The sequence below is a fragment of the Homo sapiens genome, chromosome 7 (assembly GCF_000001405.40).
Source record: "Homo sapiens chromosome 7, GRCh38.p14 Primary Assembly".
In the NCBI taxonomy this organism is placed as follows: domain Eukaryota; kingdom Metazoa; phylum Chordata; class Mammalia; order Primates; family Hominidae; genus Homo; species Homo sapiens.
The window spans coordinates 151,668,061-151,691,530 of record NC_000007.14 but is presented as its reverse complement, the minus strand read 5'-3'; the positions used below and the strand labels follow the sequence as shown (position 1 = coordinate 151,691,530).

General features: G+C 49.8%; 1 protein-coding gene across 24 annotated transcripts in view, besides 8 other annotated features; it reads left to right on the top strand.

The window, feature by feature from the left end:
- Positions 1–23,470, top strand: part of PRKAG2 (protein kinase AMP-activated non-catalytic subunit gamma 2) — a 320,989-nt gene that overhangs the window by 185,585 nt on the left and 111,934 nt on the right. For 18 of the 24 annotated variants that reach the window (NM_001407023.1, NM_001407022.1, NM_016203.4 and 15 more), the window contains one exon: positions 15,894–16,111. The exons of 5 other annotated variants lie outside the window; for them this stretch is intronic. In NM_001407023.1, coding sequence (NP_001393952.1) covers positions 15,894–16,111 — 218 coding nt within the window. Of the gene's footprint in view, positions 1–15,893; positions 16,112–23,470 lie in introns of those variants that run through there. One more of the 24 variants, XM_047420450.1, reaches the window with a different exon arrangement.
- Positions 943–5,275: an enhancer, noted in NCBI's record as "VISTA enhancer hs2193". NCBI's record gives its function as "enhancer in: heart[4/5]" and the evidence as "EXISTENCE:transgenic organism evidence [ECO:0001131][PMID:17130149]".
- Positions 943–5,806: a biological region, named in NCBI's record as "VISTA enhancer hs2193".
- Positions 2,969–4,168: an enhancer, noted in NCBI's record as "P300/CBP strongly-dependent group 1 enhancer chr7:151384449-151385648 (GRCh37/hg19 assembly coordinates)". NCBI's record gives its function as "activates an origin of replication core promoter dependent on BRD2, BRD4, P300/CBP, MED14 and CDK7 cofactors, with strong dependence on P300/CBP, by STARR-seq in HCT116 cells {active_cell/tissue: HCT116}" and the evidence as "EXISTENCE:reporter gene assay evidence [ECO:0000049][PMID:35650434]".
- Positions 4,971–5,806: an enhancer, noted in NCBI's record as "H3K27ac-H3K4me1 hESC enhancer chr7:151382811-151383646 (GRCh37/hg19 assembly coordinates)". NCBI's record gives its function as "activates a minimal SCP1, AML or CMV promoter by ChIP-STARR-seq in naive H9 embryonic stem cells {active_cell/tissue: H9 hESC(naive)}" and the evidence as "EXISTENCE:reporter gene assay evidence [ECO:0000049][PMID:30033119]".
- Positions 7,124–7,708: an enhancer, noted in NCBI's record as "H3K4me1 hESC enhancer chr7:151380909-151381493 (GRCh37/hg19 assembly coordinates)". NCBI's record gives its function as "activates a minimal SCP1, AML or CMV promoter by ChIP-STARR-seq in primed H9 embryonic stem cells {active_cell/tissue: H9 hESC(primed)}" and the evidence as "EXISTENCE:reporter gene assay evidence [ECO:0000049][PMID:30033119]".
- Positions 7,709–8,292: an enhancer, noted in NCBI's record as "H3K4me1 hESC enhancer chr7:151380325-151380908 (GRCh37/hg19 assembly coordinates)". NCBI's record gives its function as "activates a minimal SCP1, AML or CMV promoter by ChIP-STARR-seq in naive H9 embryonic stem cells {active_cell/tissue: H9 hESC(naive)}" and the evidence as "EXISTENCE:reporter gene assay evidence [ECO:0000049][PMID:30033119]".
- Positions 8,293–8,878: an enhancer, noted in NCBI's record as "H3K4me1 hESC enhancer chr7:151379739-151380324 (GRCh37/hg19 assembly coordinates)". NCBI's record gives its function as "activates a minimal SCP1, AML or CMV promoter by ChIP-STARR-seq in naive H9 embryonic stem cells {active_cell/tissue: H9 hESC(naive)}" and the evidence as "EXISTENCE:reporter gene assay evidence [ECO:0000049][PMID:30033119]".
- Positions 10,597–11,264: an enhancer, noted in NCBI's record as "H3K4me1 hESC enhancer chr7:151377353-151378020 (GRCh37/hg19 assembly coordinates)". NCBI's record gives its function as "activates a minimal SCP1, AML or CMV promoter by ChIP-STARR-seq in naive H9 embryonic stem cells {active_cell/tissue: H9 hESC(naive)}" and the evidence as "EXISTENCE:reporter gene assay evidence [ECO:0000049][PMID:30033119]".

Here is a 23,470-nt window from a genome sequence, read left to right as displayed (position 1 = left end):
GCTGAAGTATGTGTTTAAATCTTCTGTCCACTTTTTTTTTTTTTTTACTGAGTTTTTTTTGTTGTTGTTGTTACTGAGTTTTGAGAGTTCTTTATATACTCTGCTACAAGTCCTTTATCATATATGTGTTTTGCAATACGGTCAGCCCTCCATATCTGCAGGTTTCACCTCCTCAGCTTCAACCAATTCAGATCAAAAATATTCAGGGGAAAAAATAATAAAAATAATAATACAACAATAAAAATACAGATGAAAAACCAACACAGCATAATAATTACTTGCATAGCATTTCCATTATATTAGGTATTATAAGTGATCCAGAGATAATTTAAAGTATACAGGAGGGTGTGTATAGGTCATATGCACGTATTACACCATTTTATATCGGGGACTTGCACATCCTAGACTTTGGTGCCTGAGAGGGGTTCTGGAATCAATTCCCTGCAGACACAGAGGGATAGCTGTGTTTTCTCTCTGTCATGTTTCTTGTTTCATTTTCTTAACGGCGTATTTTAAAGAGCTTAAGATTTAAAGTTAGATTTGTCTACTTGTTGAGCACTATGTACAAAGCAAGCTCCACAAATCTTTCTTGAGCTGGGACAGTGCACCAGGCCCCATGGGATAGCGATAAGCGAGACTCACTGCCATTCACGCTTAGTGGAAGACCCGAGGTGCATCAGGAAACAACCCAGCACTCTATCATTTGATAACATTGGAATGTGCTAAGTGCATGAAAAGGAGGAATGATTCACTCTAGAAACCAGTGAGGGCTTCACAGAAGATGAGCTTAGCTGACAATAGATGCTGAAGCTGTGGAGTGAATCAGAAGTGGAAAAAACCCGGCTCCCCTAAGCACCGTATTCAGATATCATTTTTCATGCACTGATTCTAGAAACCTGGCACTAAAGAGAAAATTGCATGGAGGCAACATGTATGATGTGGTACAATTGAATCCGGGAACCCTGGTCCTGTCCTTCCCTCCCAGCCTTGCACCTTCCTAACGGCTGCTCCTCTCTTGGGTCCTTTGTGGAGTATCCGGCCTGCCTTCTGCAGATTGACCAAGAATAACAGAGCAGGAACCTTTCGGGGAAGAGCAATGTGTAGAAAGGGGAGGCAGGGCATCTTGGAAGTTTGTCAAGTAGATGAGGTATCTGGAAGGGGGCAGGGGGCTTTCCAGAGCCTCAGATCATGCAAACAGAGGGCTGAGTTCTCCCTCCCCGCGAAGCGAGCTCTACCAGGGGTAGGTACTGTCCATCAGACACAGGCAGCATTAGGAATTCCAAGCTCCCTAGCAAGAGGGCTCCTTTCCCACCTCCCTCGGGATGAGTGGTTACCTGTCTATTAAAAACACTAGCAGCAATTCAGGTGTGATGCTGTCATTTTTTATCATGGCCCTGAACTCCCAGAATTGTTGTTGCCATCGAGGGGCAGAGGTAAACCCTAGGTTTGAGATTCCAGATCGTCTTTGAAAGGATGCAACCAATACTTTTGTTTCCACCACGAGACGCTTATTTCCCTTTCATCTGCAGCTTTCCTTCCTCTTCTCTTCCTCCTCCGTGGAGAATCGTACCAATTAATCACTGGAGGCAGACAACCACTAGAGCTCACGATCCCTGCCTCTCCCTTCATGATGTGAATGAGGAGAGCTCCTGGAGCTGGGAACGGCACCATGGAAACGAGCTCTGGGGCAGAGGCGGCAGTCTGGACACCGTCCCAGCCTCCCCAACCCGTCTCACTGGCACCTGACACCCAGAGGGCCTGCCGGGGTGGCGTCAGATGATGTGTTGAGTCAACAGAACCCCAGGAGAGCCCTGGTTGGAGTCCCATGGCAGCCGGCTGCAGCCAGCACCCCAGGAAGGGAGTGTCTGCCACCGGCTGCAGCCGCCACCTGGCCTCCTGGGAGACCTGGCGGGAAGGGGAAAGCCGGGCAGGAACCACACTCACAGACGGTCTCCCCATCCCCGCCTCTGCCGCCTTCTCCTGCTTCGCTGTACGTGGCTCTCCAAAGTGGAGGTTTGGGAATGTGCTTCTGTGGCCCATACCCCACGTGGCCCACACCCCATCGTGCCAGGTAGAACAATGCATTCTTGTCTCCCCTGAGAGCTGTACACCTGGAAATGGCTTGGGATACACTTCCAGGAGGGGATGGTGACTGAAAGCCCTCCCTGCATCACCCACAGCCCTTCCCACCTGTGCCTCATCCAGAGCCGTGAGCCTGGATGATCAGAGGGAGCCCTCCAGAGTGAGGATAAACAGCTCAGGAATGGGACCATTGTGGGAGGCCACTGGAGCCCCCCAGGAGGGGATCTGTTCATGAGCAGTGAGCTACCACCAAGGGTTCAGAGCAGACTCAAAGAGCTGAATTATAGAAAGCACAGGAAAAAACTCCAGGTACTATTACAGATTTTAAAAACGACTATGCTCTGGAAGCTTTAGTGTGACAGGGTCCCAGCGAGGCGTGATCTTGATTTGGTTATCACACTGATTTTCCACTTCATTTTCAGCCACATTTTCTCCTATTCAGGGCTCCTCAGAGACTTCTGAGTTTGGAGGTTCAGGGTGCAAAATGGGTATAGCTCCTCTCAGAAGATGGAACAGGGAGGCCGGCCACCCTGGAGGAGAGGGGAACCACGTGAACATTTTGAGACCCCTCGGAATACAGATTCCTAAAACCTGACTTTTGGGGAGTTAGAAGGGCCCCGAAGTGATTTGAGAGACAGAGAAATCTGTGTACCCATGCTTCATTCATCAGTTTCGTCAGATGATCCAAGTGTCCTGAGATTCAAGAAAGTTGAAGAACTACTTCTTCCCCAGTTTTTAGGAAGTTTCCTCAAGAGCTAGAATAATAAACAAATTGTCAACAACCAGGAATTTCAAGAGGGACTGGAAACACTCCGCGGCAAGCAGTGTCCGAATCCCGGGCACAGTGGGGGAGCCCGCCGCGGAGTTCCCTGGCCAGCACAGGGCAGGGACGTTGCAGACGGAAGCTCTGATGATGGAGGCCTCCCTGAAAGAGGCATGCTTCCAGGGCCTCGCAGCCACTGGACCCTCCCCACACCGCATCTCATCGGGGTAAATTCCAAGTTTACCCTCACATGAGATCTGCTGTTTTACATCATAGCGATAGCCGTGTATACCGGCTTTGCCAGACAATTGGCATGAACGATGCTGTGTTATAAACAGGCATCTCGAAGAGATCAAGGTTAGAATGACATTTCTGAAATCTCGAACTCTAGTCCTGACCTAAGAACATGTTCAGACATGCTCAGGCAGGATGGGCCACCTGGGGGGGCTCCTGCCCAGGAATATTCTGGCCCCATCCTGCCGCCAGGGCCAGGAAGCCTTTCCCCTGCTCACTGGGCACCCTGGCATCAGCTGAGAGTATGAAAGTCCCCCAGGTCTCCTATTGAATTGGTGTCCTTCCCTTATTTCCTTCTAGGAAATGACAGTAGTCACCATGCTGACTCAGCAAGGAGCCCGGGGGGGGGCCTCATTTCCTCCTCCTCCTCCTCCTCCTCCCTCCCCTTCCAAACCCAAAGTGCCAAGTCTTGGCCTTCCACTACCCGCTCCACCCTATACACCCTTGGCAGCTGGCCGAGGGAGCCCCGTTGGGGAGGAGGGTGGACACGGAGAGGCAGCCCAAGGCAGATACACCTCTGACCTGAGGCACCCACCTCGCCTGGTGCGACCGTGTGCTTTTTCCTGTCGCCCATACAAACGGTCTTCTCCCCAACATTCCACAGGGATGAGGTCACCGTCAGAAACCTCCTGGAATGGAGCAAGGCCCTGGGCTGCGGCCTGAAGACCTGAGTCATGGCTGTGGACCTGCTTCTGGGGTGGGGGGTAGATCCTCGGCCACACACTTCACCTCTCAGAGCCTGCACTTCCTCCACCGAAAATGAGGTTCTGAGATGTTTGTCCAAGGTCATGCCCATTCTTACCACCTATGATTCTCATGCTGGCCCATTCCAGACTATCACATTCGGCAGAGTTCATCTCCACAGCACCAAACAATGCCTGTTGCTTTTGTGATTCCACAAATACTGATAATTAGAGGGACTGAGGCTGCTAACATTTCCCTTTCATTGACAAATTATTAGCAAATTGTTTTTCCGAAACCATTGTATATGGGAAAAGTTCTGTGGCAGAATTTCTCTCTCTCACAAAGCAGCAGAGGGGCCTCCCCTGTGCCTCCCCAGGACTGCTTTCTAAGTGGCAACATCAAGATGCATATCTGCTGTTGTCTTTTGCCCAAGCGAAGTATCTAGGGTTACGTTTTGGGTCCATGATGTAGAACTCTGACCTCCAAGCAAGCGTGAAGAAGGAACAGGGCAGACAGCAGAGGCTGGGACCACATTGTCAGAGTTGGGACAGATTTAAAATTAGCCCCTGTGAGATTCTCCTTTCCTTCCCCTGCACCACCATTTCTGTTTTGTTTTGTTAGTTCCCATGTAAATACCCATATGCTAGAGCCAACTATTTCATAACTAGGTGCAGAATGTTATTGGGTATACAAAGCCCTATAAGACTGGATATTTTCCGGATTCCTTTTAGGAGAATAACCTTGGAAAAATTCCTGAAAGTTTTTTTTTTAAATAGAAATATTTTTTCACCTTCCATATTACCATGATGCTTTGACTTGAAGATCACTCAGATATTTTCCAACATATTTTGAACAGTTTCAATGACAAAAGATCATAAAACAGATTCTTAGAGCCTAGAACCGAAATCTGCAGCCTGAAACCTTACTCCAGATTGAAATATGAATTGAGAGTGAGCTCAGCTAGGGCCAGGGCCATTCAGCTATAAAGGGGCCAGAGTCCAGAAACTCCTGCTGAGAGAGGGGGTCCTGCAGGGGCAGGGCTGGAGTGGGGTGGGGAGGACACCAGGCGGGTGTGAAACTTGTCTTTTAGGAACATTCAGAGCAAGGTCTCAAAGCAGCTGGCTGGAAAGGAGCAGCAGAGCTCAGGAGAGCTGGCCTGGCCGGCAGCTGCATAAACGCCTGGTACCCGGGGACGAGGCATCATTCCAGGGCGTTTCTGCATGAGGCTGACCTTGGCTGCAGGGAGAGTCATTCCTATCAGAGTCCAAGCAGGTGGCTGGGAACTCAGAAGGAAGGGAATTTGCTCTTCCATAGAAGGGAGCTGTGAGACAGGATGGAGGCACTCGGACCACATGACCATAAAGAATGGGAACTAACAATTACTTTAGAAGTTTCCTATCTGTGAAATAGGGAGATTGGATTAAATGAATGGTTCCAAAACATGTCCAACCACCCGCGTCACCTGGGGAACGTCACACAGCTCACATCCCCAGGCTCCTCCTGGCCCCATCGGTCAGGATCTTCCGGTCCTATGGGCACATGTGTTCTCAATGCTCCCAGGTGACTTTTGGCCCAGCCAGGTTTGAGAACTGAAGCCTGAGAAGCATCCTAACTGTCTCTGTGGCTCAGATGCTCTACTCAGCATGTCGGGTTAGACTCAGTGGGGACAGGGACTGGGGACTGCCCAGACAAGGGTTTAGAGCAAAACCGTCTCACAGGGAAAGAGGGCACTAGCAGATACATAAACCTAGCATCTTCGATTAAGCCAGCTATTCAAGACATTTGCAAAAAGTAAAAATGCCACTTATTTTTTGTTTTGTTTTAAAAAATATAGATTGCTGAGAAGTTACTTTTAAAAAAATGAGGATCCCAAGGAGCTTTTATTTCTGTGGGTCATATGAATCAATATTCACCATATTAGAATTTTTTTTTTTTTTTTTAGAGACAGGGTCTTTCTGTCACCCAGATTGGAGTCCAGCGGCGCAGTTGTGGCTCATTGCAACCGCAACCTCTCAGGCTTAAGCAATCCTCCCTCCTCAGCCTCCTGAGTAGCTGGGGCCAAGGGCACAGGCCACCATGCCCAGCTAATTTTTTATTTTTTGTAGAAATGGGGGTCTCACTATGTTGCCCAGGCTGATCTTGAACTCCTGAGCTCCCAGCCCCTCCCTTCTCGGCCTCCCAAAGTGCTGGGATTATAGGCCTAAGCCACCGAACCTAGCCTATATTAGAAATTAAAACTGAGAAAATTTTAAACATTAATTCATTTATAAATGACAACCATAAACTCATTATATGTTAAACACCCTATTTTTCAAGAGTGTAAAGGGGTGCTGAAGCTGAAATATTTGTCTACCACAGCAGTTCTCAAAGAGAAGCTGAGCATGGGATAGGGGTGTTGGTGGGGTGGCCCTGAGGACAGGCTTCTTTCAGAGAAGTATTGGGCAGCTGGGGCTGTGGGAGGTAGAATAGTTCAGGTTGAATGGATCATTCTGGAATGCATCCACCAACACGGAGGGTGGAGAATGGTAGAATGGTCTTGAAGATGACCTCGCCACTCCCACCCTGGGCTGGGGGGAAAGAGAAGAAATGGCTGAAGGCTCAGGCAGGCCCGCTCTGTGTAGGGTATTCCTGCCTCTGTGCAAATGAAACAGCAGCCTGCAGTGGGTTATAGAGGAAGTGGACTCCTGGGCCTAAGTGGTACTGATACCTAAAGTCACCCTGGTCCAGGCGCTGTTCAATGAACTGACGTGTGGCACCTGGAGCTTGTCTTGGGGGTGACCAGCTTTTTCCAATTTCTTACGTCTCCAGGTGATGAGAAACCAGGGACTGGCCTCCACGCCCTCAGGAACAGCTTCCAGAGTGCATTGTGGCTGACTGTGGCTGGGGGCACTGGGATGGCTATGGCCAGGACTGCCTGGAGGAGACCCCAACTTGTCAGAGAGGGCTCAGCTGGGATTTCTCACCTCCACACTGAGCCTGTGTGGAGGGGCCGCAGGGTGGAGTCAGCCAGGGGTGAGCTGCAGCTTGAACTTCAGGTGTGTCACACTCCTGTCCCCCAGGCAAGGCAGAAGCTAGAGCTGGCTCTGAGCTTCCGACCAGCAGGGTCTTCTCCCGGAGACGTCACCTGCTATCAATGGCAGCTGCCCATACTGAATACGGGCCTTATCATTCAGTGTCCTAGGGTGCTTTGCTTCTTACCTCTTACTCATCACACAAAGCCCACGGGCAGCTCAGATGTTCAAAGAATGAAGCAAGCCTCTGAGCTGACTCCTCTGAGGCCACATAGCTGGCGAGTGGTGACTTAGGGTCCAGCCCAGGTTTCTGGCCCCAGAGCTCAGCTGCTTCCACGGTGCTGGCCAGTCCTTATCCTGGTTTGGGAGTGGAGGCTGGAAACTGTATCGTTGGGGGCAGGAAACAAGGACATTCAGCTGGGGTTCTGAAGGGGCTTTTCCCAGGGGTGTGGGCAGGGTTTCAGGAGTCATTACCGCCCAGGCCTGGAGCGACGAGGGGAAGAGGAGTTGCTGGAGGCATGGCAGGCAGGGTCCCTGAGGATACTGCCCCTCTATTCCCTGGCTCCCCCAGCCTCCTGCAGTTGCCTGCACTGCCCAGAGCCATTCTGGAGTCAGAGGGCTGGGCACTCAGCTCCAGCGGCCCTGGAGGGTAGGGCTCTGGAATGAGGGGTGGAAGGTAAAACCTGCGGGCAATAGGGGCCGTGCGGGGAGAGGGTGTAGGAGCCAGGCCAGAGGGCACCTGAGAAAGGGCCAAAACATTGAAGCAGTGGGTTTGCTCCTTGAGAAAACAGAGTCCTAAGCAGACATCAGAGGCTGGGTTCTGGGTCACCTGCCTGGCCTGAACTTGTGTCACACAGGGTCTCGCGCCGCCCAGGGTCTCCGCCTGCCTGCTGGTTGCATCCCTCTGTGTGCTACAGCTACTCAGCACAGGTACTCCTGTCCCTCTCTGGCTGTGGCACTTTCGTTGGGCACCTCCCTGGGCCACCGTTCCCCCTCACGGCGCTCGCCATCCTCCCTCCAAAGTAGGGAACAACACCTGGCCCCTCACTCTGATGAGTGGTAGGAGGTTTCAAAACCCTGTATAAGCAAAGCCTCCCTCCAGTGTCAATGGAAATGTTGCTCTTCTCACTTCATGGCTCTTGTAACAACAGTCAGCAGAATACATTACTTCCTTCTTGTCGTTCCGTTCCTCAGGCAGGAATGAGGCTCTAGCTCATTCCATTTACGCAGTGGAGGGGCCGGATTGCACCAGATAGGCATCTGGTCTACCTGGTTTATTTTTACCAAGGCAAGGGGTGGATTTGTCCCAGAGCCCATGGCAACTTAGTGGTAAAACCAGACCTAGAGCTTGGGGCTTCTGAGGGCCAGGCCTCTGTTTCCACCCAGCACAGCTATTCCGTTCCAGCAGGGCTCAGTTCCCTTTGGTGGCACCTCTGTTCTCCTCCTCCTCCTCTCCAGCGCCTGCCAGCAGGGCCAGGCCCTGTGAAGTCACCAGCCCATGGCTCCCCAGTGTCTGGACCCCCTTTCGTGGTGTTCTGTGTGGCTGCCAGGAGCAGTTTCTGTTCCCTCGCTGGGCTGTTCACTGGGCCTGGCTGCCGCCCTGGGAGAATCAAAGGCATTGTTCACTGCAGAGGCTGGCGGCGTCCTAAACAAAGTCCTTAAGGAGCAGGAAAAAGGAGGAGATGTCTTCTCAGAAGGAACAGAAAGGGGGCACCTGTCTGTCCTTTGGCCAGAGCCTTCTTGGGTGACTTTGGCCATGGCCCAGTTCTGCCTGGGCCCTTAGGAGAGGCCCCTGGGCCGGGGCAGACCTGTGTCCTCCTCCAGGATCGGGGCCCAGCTCTTTCCTGGGGTTTCTGAGCCACCGTCCCACCCCCACCCTCAGGCCCTCTCCTCTTCCCTGAGCTCCCCCCTGCTTTCCTGGTTCTCGACTTTATTGCATGGTGGTGTTGGGGCTGATTTTTTGGTTTTGTCCCCATTTCTCCTACAGACTACAGGGACTTGCTCTAATCCATCTTAGCACCTCCTTCCTCAACACCCCCAGCATACTTGGCCCGTGGAAGCTGTCCAGGAACTATTCATTTACTGATCAGACCCAAGGTTGAGTTCAGCAGTTGACCTTATGATTAAGAAATACATTGGTCTATTTAAAAGTAATGGGGGGCCAGGCATGGCGGTTCACACCTATATTCCCAGCACTTTGGGAGGCTGAGGCAGGAGGTGACTTGATACCAGGAGTTCAAGACCAGCCTGGGCAACATAGTAAGATGCCATCTCTACAAAAATAAAAAAATTAGCTGGTGTAATGGTATTTGCCTGGAGTTCCGGCTACTCAGGAGACTGAGGTGGGAGGATCACTTGAGCCCAGGAGTTTGAGGCTGCAGTGAGCCGTGATCATACCATTGTACCCCAGCCTGGGCCACAGAGTGAGACCTTGTCTCAAAAAAAGTAATGAGGGATTGTGTCAGCATTGCCCATTTTCCCTTTTATTTATGAATAGTGATACCAACATTGAAAAGAAAAAAAGCTTAGGAATCATTCTTACTACCCACCTTACCTGACTCATAAGACAGTTGTTTCTCTACTGATTGAATAGCATAAACCTGAGTAGAAGTCACTTCTTTGTTGGTCTACCCTTCCTGGCTGGCATGGAAGAAAACCCTCTTTGGGGGAAGCCTGTCCCTCCCTACATGGGGCTGTCCCACCTTAGGAAGCACATGGGGTCCCAAGCTCACTCCGTCTCTGTGCCCTTCTCTCTTCTGTGGCACCTCTTCTTTCCCTCTGCAGTCACCCAGTGTCATCCAAGCTCTCCTTCCTGTTGGCCCCGTGAAGCCCCACTTCTGGGAGAGTAATTCATACAGCTAAAATGTAATTTTAAGTCTTCATGTTCTTTCTCTCGGTGATACCCCAGTTTGATTGTGGCAGAAAGTGTCTGGGTTATAGAGTCAGGACAGTGGAGCTGAGGTGTGGTCCCTGCCATTTATTCGCTAAAGGACCATGGATAAGTAGCTGAACTTTCTCCAGCTACCAGTTTCTTCATCTGTGAGGGGCAGAGGGGGCCAGAGTGTGTAAGCCCTCTGTAAACAGGGTGGCATCGTGCAAAAAACAAAAAAAAAGTGTTGATGCTGCAAGACTCTACCCCCTCTTAAAAACATTTCGGGTATCAGTCAACAGATAGGGCATATGTTAGGTTCCAGGAGGGTTCACTCCCCATGCCCCTAACTACACACATATCCCTAATGCACACACTGTGAGTCTCAGCATTTCACCTGTCCCTTCCTCTAAAAGTTTCCCTTCCCCCTCTGTAGTCCAGAGTGCCACCTGTTTTCCCCACAGGAGTCACCAGCTCTGGAAGGAACAGGAAGGCCAGGTGGAAAGATGGGAGCAGCTTCTGAACTTGGAAAGATGGCAATGATAGAGAATCATTCAGCCCCACCAGAAATGAGGTGTTCCCACCCCCAAATGAACAGTCCACCTTCTCATCTCCTCGGCCCCAGAGGTTCACTCCTGCATCCCGCCACCTCTCTCACCTCCTTTGGGACTGGGTTAGGATCATTCCAGTACTCACACGGGGGTGGCCTGCAAGGGGACAGGGCCATGGGAGGAGCGGACACCGTGGTTTGTGCTCTTAAGAGCTCTCGGCAGGGGGTGGGGAGGGGCTTGGTCACAGTTGCATTCTCTTTAAACTGTTTACTTGAAAGATGAACGTTCTGTACCCAAAGAACTAGCAAGGAGTTTTCATGGGCTGTGAACATCCCTTGCACAACAGTGACTAAGCTTCATCCCTGAAGAATGTTGGAAGTGGAAAAACTTCTCGAAGAGAAAGAGCAAGGGAGAGGACAGCTCAGGAAGGCACAGCCATGGCCCTGATTCTAGTGGGAGACAGGACAGAGGTCCTGGTCCTGGTCCTCGTGGGAGACACCCCTGCACAGAGCTGGGGGGCGCGTCGGGGCAGGCAGGGCAGGAAGCAGGTCAGTGCTTAAATATGGCCTTCGCCAGCCTCTTGGCTCAAAAGCAAAGCAGTGGCTGAAAAGAAGTAATTTTCTGAATGGATAATCCATTCTCATGATAGAAAGTTTGAAAAATCAAAAAGGGGATATGATGAAAGTCCTCCCTGCCAGTTGTTCCCTTCCCTGGAGACAGCCAGTGTTTCCAGATCCTGCCAGAGATAGTCTAGGCAAAATCAGACAGGCAGAATATAGATACTTTCTTTCCTTTTTTCAAAACTACAAATGGTATCATTCGATACAGATGGCTCTGCAGTTGGCTTTCTTCACTTACCGCTCCATCTTGGAGATGAAAGGAACGAGGATCCCTGTCATGTTCCGACAGGAATGGTGGCTGCCTGTGCCTGCAGATGGGCCATGATTTATCTAACCTCTTCTTGACGAGCCTCTGCGTCTCCAGGCTCTGCTTTTAAAAGCACCATGGTAATGAATAAGCCGACACTTAGTACAGTCGACACTTAGCAATTACACAAATAAGTCTATGGCCCCAGAAATGGAATTACTGGGTCCAGGAACATGCGCGTTTGTGGTTTTGATCAGTGGTGCCTAGATAGGCACCACAGAGTACCTGTTTCCTCTGGGCCTTTGCCCAATGCCTGCATGGGTGCAGTTTGGGCTCATTTTGTTGTGTTGTGTTTTGTGAGATAGGATCTTGCTGTGTCACCCAGGCTGGAGTGCAGTGGTGCAGTCCTAGCTCACTGCAGCCTTGAACTCCTGGGCTCAAGCAATCTCGCCATGTAGCTGAGACTACAGGCATATGTCACCATATCTGGCCAATTTTTTTTTTTTTAATAGAGACAGGGTCTTGCCATGTTGCCCTAGGTGGTCTCAAACTCCTGGGCTCAAGTGATCCTTCTCCCTCAGCCTCCCAAAGTGCCGGGGCTACAGGCATGAGCCACCGCACCTGGCCAGGGCTAGTTTTGATCATGCCCTGCTCAGGGATGGACATAGCTACTTTTCAGCATTGTCCATGGAGGAGGCTTTAGAGATCTCTGTGGCTGGCCCCTTCCTTTACACACGAAGACCCCAGCCCCCCAGAGGGGTTTCTCTGCAGGGCTGTCACAGGTCATGAGGATGTGGGGGGTGGCACAGGTTTTTGAACCTAAAACGCCCCCCACCACATCCTATTCAGCTCTGCCCCATCAGGTCCCTGCACATGCCTACAGGAAGCAGGGGCACAGCCCCCGGGAAGTGCCACTGAAGGGGCCCTGTGTCCAGTGGGGAAAGGGGCTGGGAGAGGAGGATGAGAACATTCCCTCTTGACTCTCAGGAGAGGAGATAGCCTGTCCTAGGTGCATTGTGGGACCAGGACGAGCCCCTGCTGGAGACTTTGTTGCTGCAGGAACCACTGAAGGATATGACTCTGGGGTCTAAGGCCCCAGGCAGTGCCCCACACTACACACAAAATAGCACACAGGCTTCTTTGCTCTGCCCCTGCAGATCCCCCTGAGAGGCCCCGGGCAGGCCTCCCCGAGCCCTGGCTACTGTCTCTATTTCTCAGTGCCAAGCAGCTGGAGCCTGGCCCTGAGAAGGGTCCGGATGGGCCGGCAGCCCTTTTGTGGTCCTGCCTGCTGACACACCCCCATCTCTGAAGAGCTGCTAAACCACATCAGGACCTTCCCACTCTTCCTCTTCCCTCTCCTTCCTCCCCACCCCACCTCAAAGCAGGGTTTTCTTCTCAAGACCTTTGGGGGAAAATATTCTACTTTTCTTTTTTTTCTTTTTTTTTGAGACAGAGTCTCACTCTGTCACCCAGGCTGGAATGGAATGCAGTGGCACAATCTCAGCTCACTGCAACCTCCGCCTCTTGGGTTCAAGCGATTCTCCTGCCTCAGCCTCTGGAGTGGCTGGGACTACAGGCGCGCGCCACTACGCCTAGCTAATATTTGTATTTTTAGTAGAGATGGGGTTTTGCCATGTTGGCCAGTCTGGTCTTGAACTCCTAACCTCAGGTGGTCCACCCACTTCAGCCTCCTGAAATGCTGAGATTATAGGCATGAGCCACTGCACCTGGCCTCTATTTTTCAAGAGTTTGGGACTTTGTTGTGAGGGCCTTTTACATTTTAAGTTTCGGGTCCTAACCCTCTCCTCCTGCTTCCACCCAGAGCTGCCTCCCAAGTGCCAGCCCGGGGCTTCCAGAGGGCTTTCCACTCACACTGCTCAGTCTCCTGAAGGGACTCCCTGGAAAAGGGGGCTCCTTCTCTAATAGGTGACTTCCTAAACCTCCCCCGGACACACAAAACAAAACATGCGCCCCACTCTCCACAGAGAGGAACAGATTCACCCTGACCTTGAGCCGGTCCTCTCACTGTTCTTTCTGTTCCTTGCCTGGTGGCAGCAGGCATTTGCCAGACCCCTTGGCTCAGGACAGCACTGGGTGCCCTGGGGCCCAGAGGGAGTGGCAGGACCCCCGTCCCCAAGACAGACGGTAGATCTTGGTGGGGAGAGGGGACTTACATACTTTTATGTTTGGTTTGAACGTTAAACAGTTTGTCATTAAGTGGTAACATACAGGACAGTGAAAAGGCTTTATGAGTTTGGTGACACGAGGGACAGGAGGACAGGTCCTTCCCCATGAGGATGGAGCAGGAGGGACACGGGTGGTTCTGGGAGCTGCGAGGAGGAGGAACCCAGCAGAGATGCCTGGGGAGAGTGAACCAGGCCTGTGGCTCTGTAGGTGACGCAGCCTTGTCCAGACCAGAAACAGTGACTGGTGGCTCTAGGACCTGATAAAAGGAAAACGTCTGCCGAATTATGTTTAAAGGAGTTTGACTGAGCAATGAACGATTCGCAAATCGAGCAGCCTTCTGAGCCAGAGTAGACTCCGAGAGCCCAGCTCTCAGCCATGTGGTGGAAGAAGATTGATGGACAGAAAAAGGAAAGTGACCACAGAAAGCGGAAGTAAGGCACAGAAACACCTGGATTGGTTACAGCTCAGCATTTGTCTTACTTGAACACGGTTGGAACAGTTGGCTACATGTGATTGCCAAAACTCTGGCTGGCACGAATGTAGGCTATGGTCTGTTACAGTTCACAATGTACAGAAAACCCTTTAGGCCAAACTTAAAATATTTAAGGAGGCAGCTCTAGGCTACATGTAATTTAACAGGGCATGTTCACTGACATCTTTGGTTTGACTTGCATAATTCAAATTTTATTTTAAAATTTTATTTTTCTACCTGTAAGATGTAAGATATCAGAGGGTGAGTGTGATGGCTCATGCCTGCAATCCCAGCACTTTGGGAGGCCGGGGCAGGCAGATCACTTGAGGTCAGGAGTTCGAAAGCAGCTTGCCCAACATGGTGAAACCCCATGTCTACTAAAAATATTTTTAAAAGATTAGCCAGGCCTGGTGGCAGGTGCCTGTAATCCCAGCTACTCAGGATGCTAAGGCAGGAGAATCGCTTGAACCCGGGAGGCAGAGGTTGCAGTGAGCTGAGATCACACCACAGCACTGCAGCCTGGGCGACAAGAGTGAAAACTCTGTCTCAAAAAAAAAAGAAAAAGAGATTTGAGATATCAGACCCAAAGCCAGATTCTGCTTCTCTTAGAACACAATCCATGCATTGCATCAGTCTCCTCAGGCTGTTATAACAAAGTGCCACCGACTGAGTGGCTTAAAACAACTAAAATTTAGCCCTGTCCTGAAGGCCAGAAGTTCAAAATCGAGGTGTTGGCAGCGCCACGCTCTCTCTGAAACCTGTAGGGGAGGATTCCTCTTTGCCTCGCCCTGGCTTCTGGGTTTGCCAGCAATCCCCATCGCGCCTTGGCTGCAGCTGCATTGCTCCGATCGCTGCCTCTGCCAGCACGAGGCCTTCCCTCTGGGTATCCGTTTCTGTGTCTCTTTTCCTCTTCTTATAAGGACACCAGTCACATTGCATTAGGGCCCACCCTAGTCCAGCAAAATCTCATCTAGACTTGGTTGATCTGAAAAGACCCTGTTTCCAAATAAGGTCACATTCACAGGTCACATCCTACCTGTGCACTGTGCCATGATTTATTTAACCTCTTCTTGACGAGCCTCTGCATCTCCAGCTCTGCTTTCAAAAGCACCATGGTAATGAATTAGGTGTACACTCGCCACTTAAAAATTACATAAATAAGTCTATGGAAGAAATAGAGTTGTTTCTGTTAGTTAGAAATAAGTCAAAGTGGAGAACCTTTAACTCCCAGAAGATTCATGTCTCCAGTCTTCCTACAATCCTCCACTAACACCGTTGCCCCTCCCATTATTTGCCCCCTCCCTTTTCCTGACCATCTAAATCTGTTTCACTTTTTAGACCCCATTCCAGTCCCACCCTTTCCCTGAAGTCTCCTTGGGTATTTATCTTCGCAGTGAAGTCTTGCTACTGGGAACTTACAGTGGTGATGTTCATGTTGCACGTTTTGGTAGGAATAACACATCCATCCCCTCCCCTCCCCTCCCCTCCCGTCCCCTCCCCCTCCCCCTCCTCAGATACATGGTCCCATGGCTTCTGCAGCATTGGCCTGCATCTCTGCTGCACATTTTCCGAACTTCCCCATGTTTTACCTCAATAAATAAGGCACCACTGCGTTTGCTCTTGGCGCCATGCTGGGGAAAGAAGGAGAGGAGATCAAATGATATTTGGCTGAATGGAGGAAAATAGCCTCTGGAGGGTGTGTGTAAAAGTTCACCAGATAACTCGGGACCGTGTGAGCACCCCGTTCCCAATGAGGGGATGCTGCCCACAACCGAGCGTGGATAGTGAGGCGTTTCTGGAAACAGCTGATTCTAAGAGACTAGAAATTGGTTTTTAAAGCTTTTCCTCAACATTCAGAATAATTTGGCTTCTTGCCATTTGAGGTTTTGGGCACCAGGAATGGTGAGAGCCTCCCTCTGCCATGGCGGGACCTCTGACCACCTCCAATGTCCCTTCCTGGAGGCCGGACCTCTGACTGCCCCCGACGTCCCTTCCTGGAGGCCGGACCTCTGACCTCTCCCCATCTCCCTTCCTGGAGACCAGACCTCTGACCACCCCCGACGTCCCTTCCTGGAAGCCGGACCTCTGACCGTCCTTGGTGTTTCTTCTGCAGCCTCCGGCCTCTCCTCCTCTCCGTCAACACCCACCCAAGTGACCAAGCAGCACACGTTTCCCCTGGAATCCTATAAGCACGAGCCTGAACGGTTAGAGAATCGCATCTATGCCTCGTCTTCCCCCCCGGACACAGGGCAGAGGTTCTGCCCGTCTTCCTTCCAGAGCCCGACCAGGCCTCCACTGGCATCACCGACACACTATGCTCCCTCCAAAGCCGTAAGTCTGGGCCCTTCTGTGGGTGGGGCTGCCGGGTGGCAGAGGGAGGGCAGAGCAGTTATTGCCCCAAGCTGAGCAGTCTATCTGCAGCCGAGGCTGAGGTCGTGTGCTCCCGACATCTTCAGGATATTGTACCATAAATCACAGGCTGAGGGAGAAATGGTGAGGGCACAATAGCAAATGGAAATACACAAAAAATAGCTGGGTGCGGTGGCTCACACCTGTAGTCCCAGCACTTTGGGAGGCCAAGATAGGCAGATCACTTGAGGCCAGGAGTTCGAGACCAGCCTGGCCAACATGGCAAAACCCTGTCTCTACCAAAACTGCAAAAATTAGCTGGGTGTGGTGGCGTGCACCTGTATCCCAACTACTCGGGAGGCTGAGGCATAAGAATTGCTTAAACCTAGATGGCAGACACTGCAGTGAGCTGAGATCATGACACCGCACTCCAGCCCCTATGTAACAGAGCAGACTCTGTCTGAAAAAAAAAAGAAAAAAAGAAACAAAATGAAAAATGGTAACATCTGGGACATGACCAGGAGGAGGTTTTTTTCCCCTCAGCTTCTTAAAAATCATTCATTGAAAGCTTTATTTGAATTTACCTTGCTTGGGATACTACAGTATTCATAAAATGTCATAGGTAAAGCAAAAAAAAAAAGTAAAACAGAAGTGTTATTCTAGAGGTTTAAGATTTTGAGTCTGATGACATCATCAGACTTAGGATGCCCTCTTTGGAAGGGGAGCATTTCATAGAGGAGTGGGATGGAGCGACAGACGTGTGCAGCCTCCAGCACTTCCTGAGACCGAGGCAGCGAATCTCCGTGGCTTCACTAAGCACTTAAGCACTCTCTGTTTCAACACAGTGGGCCCTACTGAGACCCCAGCTGTCACTGCTGGTTTAATTACCGCAGGTACCCAGTATTATTCCCGTGCCCAGCGACACTGTGAGAGCCACATCCCTGGGTCTACCTGTATGGCTGGAACCACTCCATTCAGTTGTCACATTAGTGTCGCATGTCACTGGGGCATGACATAGTGCCACACACTGGATGGCTTAAAACAATAGAAATGTACTGTCTCACTGTTCTGGAGGCCAAAAGTCCAAAGTCAAGGTGTTGGCAGGGCTACACTCTCTTCAAAGCCTCTAGGGAGAGTTCTTCCTTGCCTTCTCCAGCTTCAGCTTGTGACAGTGTTACTCCAGTCTCTGTCCCGTTCTCACATAGCCATCTTCCCTTTGTCTTTCTTTGCATCCCAATTTCCTTCTTATAAGAATACAAGGCCAGGTGCGGTGGCTCATGCCTGTAAACCCAGCACTTTGGAAGGCCAAGGTGGGTGGATCACTTGAGGCCAGGAGTTCCAGACCAGCCTGGCCAGCATGGTGAAACCCTGTCTTTACTAAAAATACAAAAAATTATCTTGGCGTGGTGGTGGGCACCTGTAATCCCAACTAGTCAGGAGACTGAGGCATGAGAACCGTGGGAACCCAGAGGCAGAGGTTGCAGTGAGCCGAGATTGCACCACTGCACTCCGGCCTGGGTGACAGAGCGAGACACTGTCTCAAAAAAAAAAAAAAAAAAAAAAGAACACAAGCTACATTGGATGAGGGCCCACCCCTATCATCTTAACCTGATTATATCTACAAAGACCCTATTTCCAAAAGTCACATTCACAGGTACTGGGACTTAGAACTTCAACATCTCTTTTTAGGAGATACGGTCCAATCTGTAACAGTTGTTATCTTTTAGGAGAAGATGCGTTGCCATGCTGAGAACATACTATTCCTATTCTTGTTCATTCAGTTATTTTATTAAACACAGGTGTAGCAAAGTATTATTTCAGGTGCCAAAGGTTAAACTGCAAGTTATTGTTCCTGCCTTCTAGAGCTTACAATCTGATTGGGAACTGAACAGTACTGGGGCAAAACAGCTCAGTAAAGGGGGAGAGCGGTTTCGCCGGGATAATGAGTGGCACAGTCGGCCCTACAGGAGGGAGAAACGGAAAACCGCTGGTCTGATAAGGGCAATGACAGCTTCAAGGCACGTCACCTGCTGGGCTGAGCCTGGAGTACTGTCAGTGTTTACATTAAGGGAGAGGGAAGGGAGAACCTTCTAGAAAAGAAAATTAGGCTTTGACTAGGGATCATGGATTAGAATAACCCCATTTAAGAAGAGACAGTGGTTTGACGAGAAAACCACGATTTATTTGAGATCATTTGAAGGGATAGTGACAGACACAGACGCAGGGCTCTTCCACGAGTCCCTGATGTTTGACGGCAGCAGCTTTGTGCTGGGGACAAGCCCAGAGCCTTCCCAGTTGAAAGAAAAGAGAATACAGGGAGTGCTCTGGGTTTGCTGTCAGCTTCCTCCCCGCGAGTGTAACAGGAAAGTGGTGTTCTTATCTCCTTATAACCCAACTGTTTATACCCCACACAACCACGCAGCCCTTGGTCAAGGCCAACAAGTATAGGTCCTTCCAGGCTTGCCACGGTGATCAGAGAGGGAGTGTCCTGGGGTCAGAGAGAGAGTGAGTATGCTCAGCTGTGTCCCATACTCAGCAGCTGACCCAGAGCACGTGCCCTGTGCCCAGCACGCGGCTGGCAGCAGGAGTGTGCAGTCGAGTGGGATTTCAACAACAATCCAAATGTCGTGAATGGATAAACAAATGTGGTGTATACAGATGATGGAATAGTACCCAGCCTTAAAAAGAGAGGAAGTTCCGACGCAGGGAGTGACACGGAGGGGCCCTGAGGACCTTGTGCTGAGTGAAATAAGCCAGTCACAAAAGGACGCATACTGCATAATGCCACTTATAGGAGTCCCTAGAGTCATCCAAATAGAGACGGAATGTAGAATGGTGGGTACCGGGGGCTGGGGGGAGGGGAAAAGATGAGTTAGTGTTTGACGGAGACAGAGTTTCAGTTTGGAAAAGTGAAAGAGTTGGGGCAATGAATGGTGGTGATGGCTGAACAACAGTATGAATGTACTTGCTGCAACTGAACTGTACACTTGAAAATCGTTCGAATGGTGGCTGGGCGCAGTGGCTCACGCCTGTAATCCCAGCACTTTGGGAGGCCGAAGTGGGTGGATCACGAGAGATCGAGACCATCCTGGCTAATACGGTGAAGCCCCGTCTCTCCTAAAAATACAAAAAATTACCCGGGCGTGATGGCAGACACCTGTAATCCCAGCTACTTGGGAGGCTGAGGCAGGGGAATCGCTTGAACGCAGGAGGCAGAGCTTGCAGTGAGCCGAGATGGCGCCACTGCACTCCAGCCTGGGCGACAGAGCGAGACTCCTTCTCAAAAAAAAATAGTTCAAATGGTGGCCGGGAGAGGTGGCTCACGCCTGTAATCCCAGGGCAACAAGAGTGAAACTCCATCTCAAAAAAAAAAAAAAAAGTTCAAATGGTAACTTTTATGTATATTTATCACCATAAACCAAAAAGAGGAATGATCTGGTCAAGACTCCAATTTTTATGTCATTTGAGCTTCTGAAAATCAGGCTGATGGCCCAAGGCTCCCCACTTACATTTTGAAAGGGTGTATTTCAAGGAATGGAAGAGAATGTCCCCATTGGTTACCTGATGGTAAGCAAGCCCCTCACCCCACTTGTAAGTTTCAGCCCTCAGGCCAGCAAGGGCTGCCTTCACCTGCGTCATTCACAGCCTCTGTGGCCAAGGTTTGGCTCAAGCCCTTTCTGCTTTCAGCATCCTGGCAGCAGGTTAACCTGATTACTCAGCAAAGACTCTGCTTCCAAATAAGGTTGCAGTCACAGGTACCAGGGCTTAGAACCTCAACCTCTTTTCAGAGGACGCTATTCAACCCAAAACAGTTGTTATCTTTTGGGAGAAGATATGTTTGGCATGCAGAGAACATATCATTACATTCTGGCAGCAGGGTGGGTGGTAGTTTCAAGTTCGTAGAAATTTGCTCCTTTATAATTGGATTTTATTGAGTATCTTTATGTGCTAAGTTCCTTATGTGCTTGGCTGATTCTGTTAATTTGGCTACCAGGATAATCTCTGTGGAGGAATGTGAGTTACTTAAAGACTTTTGATGGTCTGAAAATATTTGGATGTAATTTATCTCTGCCTTTTGTAATAAAAAGATACTTTCTGTAAACATCGACCATGAAGATCATTTTTATAAAATCTGTTCCCATGAATTTTATTCTAAAATAGGGAATGGAATGGAGAAAATTAGTCTTTAGAAGACAGCACTCCTTTTTTTTTTTTTTTTTTTTTTTTTTTGAGACAGTCTAGCTCTGTCACCCAGGCTGGAGTGCCTTGCCGCGATCTCAGCTCACTGCAACCTCTGCCTTCTGGGTTCAAGCAATTCTCCTGCCTCGGCCTCTCAAGTAGCTGGGGCTACAGGCATGCACCACCACACCCAGCTAATTTTTATATTTTTAGTAGAGACGGGGTTTTGCCATGTTGGCCAGGCTGGTCTTGAACTCTTGACCTCAGGTGAATCCGCCCACCTTGGCCTCCCAAAGTGCTGGGATTATAGGCGTGAGCCAACCACGCGCGGCCAACAGCACTCATTTTATCATGTATTTATTCAGCAAATACCTATTAAGCAACTTATGTGCCTAAAACTGCTAGCATGGGTAATAGGATGACAAATATGTGAGCCCTGCTAATGGGAAAAGGCCAATGTTTGTTTTATTTACCATTTGATTAACAGCTCCGTGCATTATGCATAGGAAGGTGTCAGTGAATATCTACTAATTGAACAAAGGAAGGAGCTTTTGTTTCTTTGGGAAGAACAGACAGGTAATTCATTACAATGGAGTGTGATAGAACCCGTTCCGTTATTGTGGGAGGAAACCCCATCCTATCTTGATGAGTGGAAGAGCTGATCCCAGAGGAAGTCGAAATTCTTTTCAACAGGGAAAAGCAATAATCAGCTGTGCATTTTAGGGTGATCCCCTAACTGGTTATGGAAATTAGATTGGAGGTGGTTAGAACAGGAGCCCAGACGAGATGCAGTGTGAAGTAATCTAGGCCCAGGTTGCAGCTGAAGGTAGAAAGAAATGGAATCGTGTTTAAAAGTAGAGGGCAATTTTGAAGGTAAAATTGAAAGGAATTTGGAAGGTAGTGGTTGATTAATTGAAGGGGAAGGAGACAAATCAGGGGTGATTCCAAAGGTTTTGCCATGGAAAAGTGGATGGATGATAGTTCCAGCTCTGGGGGTATGGAGCAGAGGAGGAAGAGGGCAGGGTGTATATGTGAGTGCATGTGTGTGGGTGTATGTGGGCATGCATGCAGGTGTGTGCACAGGTGTGTGTGCATGCAAGTGTGTGTGCATGCAGGTGTATGTGCATGCAGGTATGTGTGCATGCAGGTGAGTGTGCATGCGGGTATGTGCACAGGTGTGTGTGCATGCAGGTGTGTGTGCATGCAGGTGTGTGCACAGGTGTGTATGCATGCAAGTGTGTGTGCACAGGTGTGTGCAGGTGTGTGACAAGTTGTACATGCAAGTGTGTGCACAGGTGTGTGTGCATGCAGGTATGTGCATGCAGGTGTGTGTGCATGCAACTGTGTGTGCAAGTATGTATGCATGCAGGTGTGTGCACAGGTGTGTGCCTGCAGGTGCACAGGTGTGTGTGTGTGCAAGTGTGTGCACAGGTGTGTGCGTGCAAGTGTGTGCACAGGTGTGTGTGCATGCAGGTGTGTGCACAGGTGTGTGTGTAGGTGGTGGTAGTCCAATAAGGCGCCTGTGGCACATTTAAGTCGAGGTGCCCAAAGGGCAAGTGGATATTGAGTCTGGAGCTGGAACTTCAATTTGAAAATCATTCAGATATAAGTGGCAATTGGTGCTATAATAGTAGGTGAAATAATTCATAGAAATGTATGGCAGGTGAAAAGAGAACCAGAAAACACGTGGACATCTAAGGGACAATCGAAAAAAACGGATTCTGAATTCCCTGGAAATGAGGCAGAAATCCAAGTGAACACAGCATCACAGGAGCAAAGGGAATGTGTGTAATCGTGTTTCACATACTAAGAGTGTTGAGTGACATCAAATGCAGCCAACTAGTTGTGTAACATAAGGTCGTTGTGACTTCGGCAAGGATACTTTTAGTGGCAGGGTCGACAGCAGAAGCCATGTAATGTGAGTTGATGATTAAGGGATAAAGAAGTGGTGATCTCTAGTGTAGATAGCTCAAGTATCCTGATGTGAGAGAGAGGACAGGGGCTGTAGCTAGAAGAATGGAGGTGATGGCATCTTCCTACAAAGAGGAATAGACTCAAACCCTACTGGGGAAAGAGTGAGTGCAGGGAGAAATTAAAGATTGGAGAGAAAAGAAAGTGTCATTCCCGTCTTACAAAGGAAAGGAGTGCGTTTCCTTATAGGCAGTGGGAGCACATCAAGCACTTGCGATGGAGACGTTTGTCTTGGACCAATGGGAGGAGAGTCATCTTCTATTGGTTTGAAAACTTCTACTGCAAAGGTGTTAGGATGATCAGCGCTTTTCCAATTTCCTTCCACAGCAGTCACTCCCATGCTCCCCATCTTTTTCTCCTAGGAATTCACTTTTGATTTATTGGAAGCAGAGCCTGAGCTGGGGTTTCAGGAGCAAGTTTGTTTGTTTATTAAGGGAGTGCTCTCGGAAGGAACCTGTAAGAGGGTGAGAGAAAGGAAGAAGAAGCTGAGCAAAGATGTGGTTGCAGATGAGATCCACTCTCAGCCTGTGACAGCAGAGGAGATTGGTGCTGTAAATTGCCCCAGAATTTGCCCTACCTTGAGGCAAGACAGCTGGATTTTGTGCCCTCACACAAGACAGGCTTTAGTTATAGGATGTCCCAGGACAAGGGAGATGCACCTCCAGCTGAGATGGCTTTGATCACCCAAGAACGATCCTGCTAAAAAGGTTGCAGGTGTGAGCCATCGGTAGCAGCTTCTGCAGCAGCTGGGTGCACCAGAGCCCATTAAAATGAATCGAGGACATATTCTATAGTCTGAATTCTCTATGCTCTTCTTTTGCCAGCTGATTCATGTATCCAGCAGATTTGAGTCTTGTCTGTTTAATGTTGCTGTAACAATATACCTGAGGCTGGGTAGTTTATAAAGAGAAGAGGTTTAATTGATTCATGATTCTGGAGGCTGGAAAGCTCAAGATGGAGCAGCTGCATCTGATGAAGGCCTCATGCCTCTTCCACTCATGGAAAGCAGAAAGGGAGCAGACATGTGCAAAGAGATCACCTGGCAAGAGAGAGAAACTGAGGAAGACAGGCACTTTTTAACAACCTGCTCTCAAGGGAACTAATCCATTCCTGTGAGATACCCCTGCAGTAGGGTATTAATCTATTCATGAGGGACCTGCCCCCATGGCCCAAACACCTCCCACTAGGCCC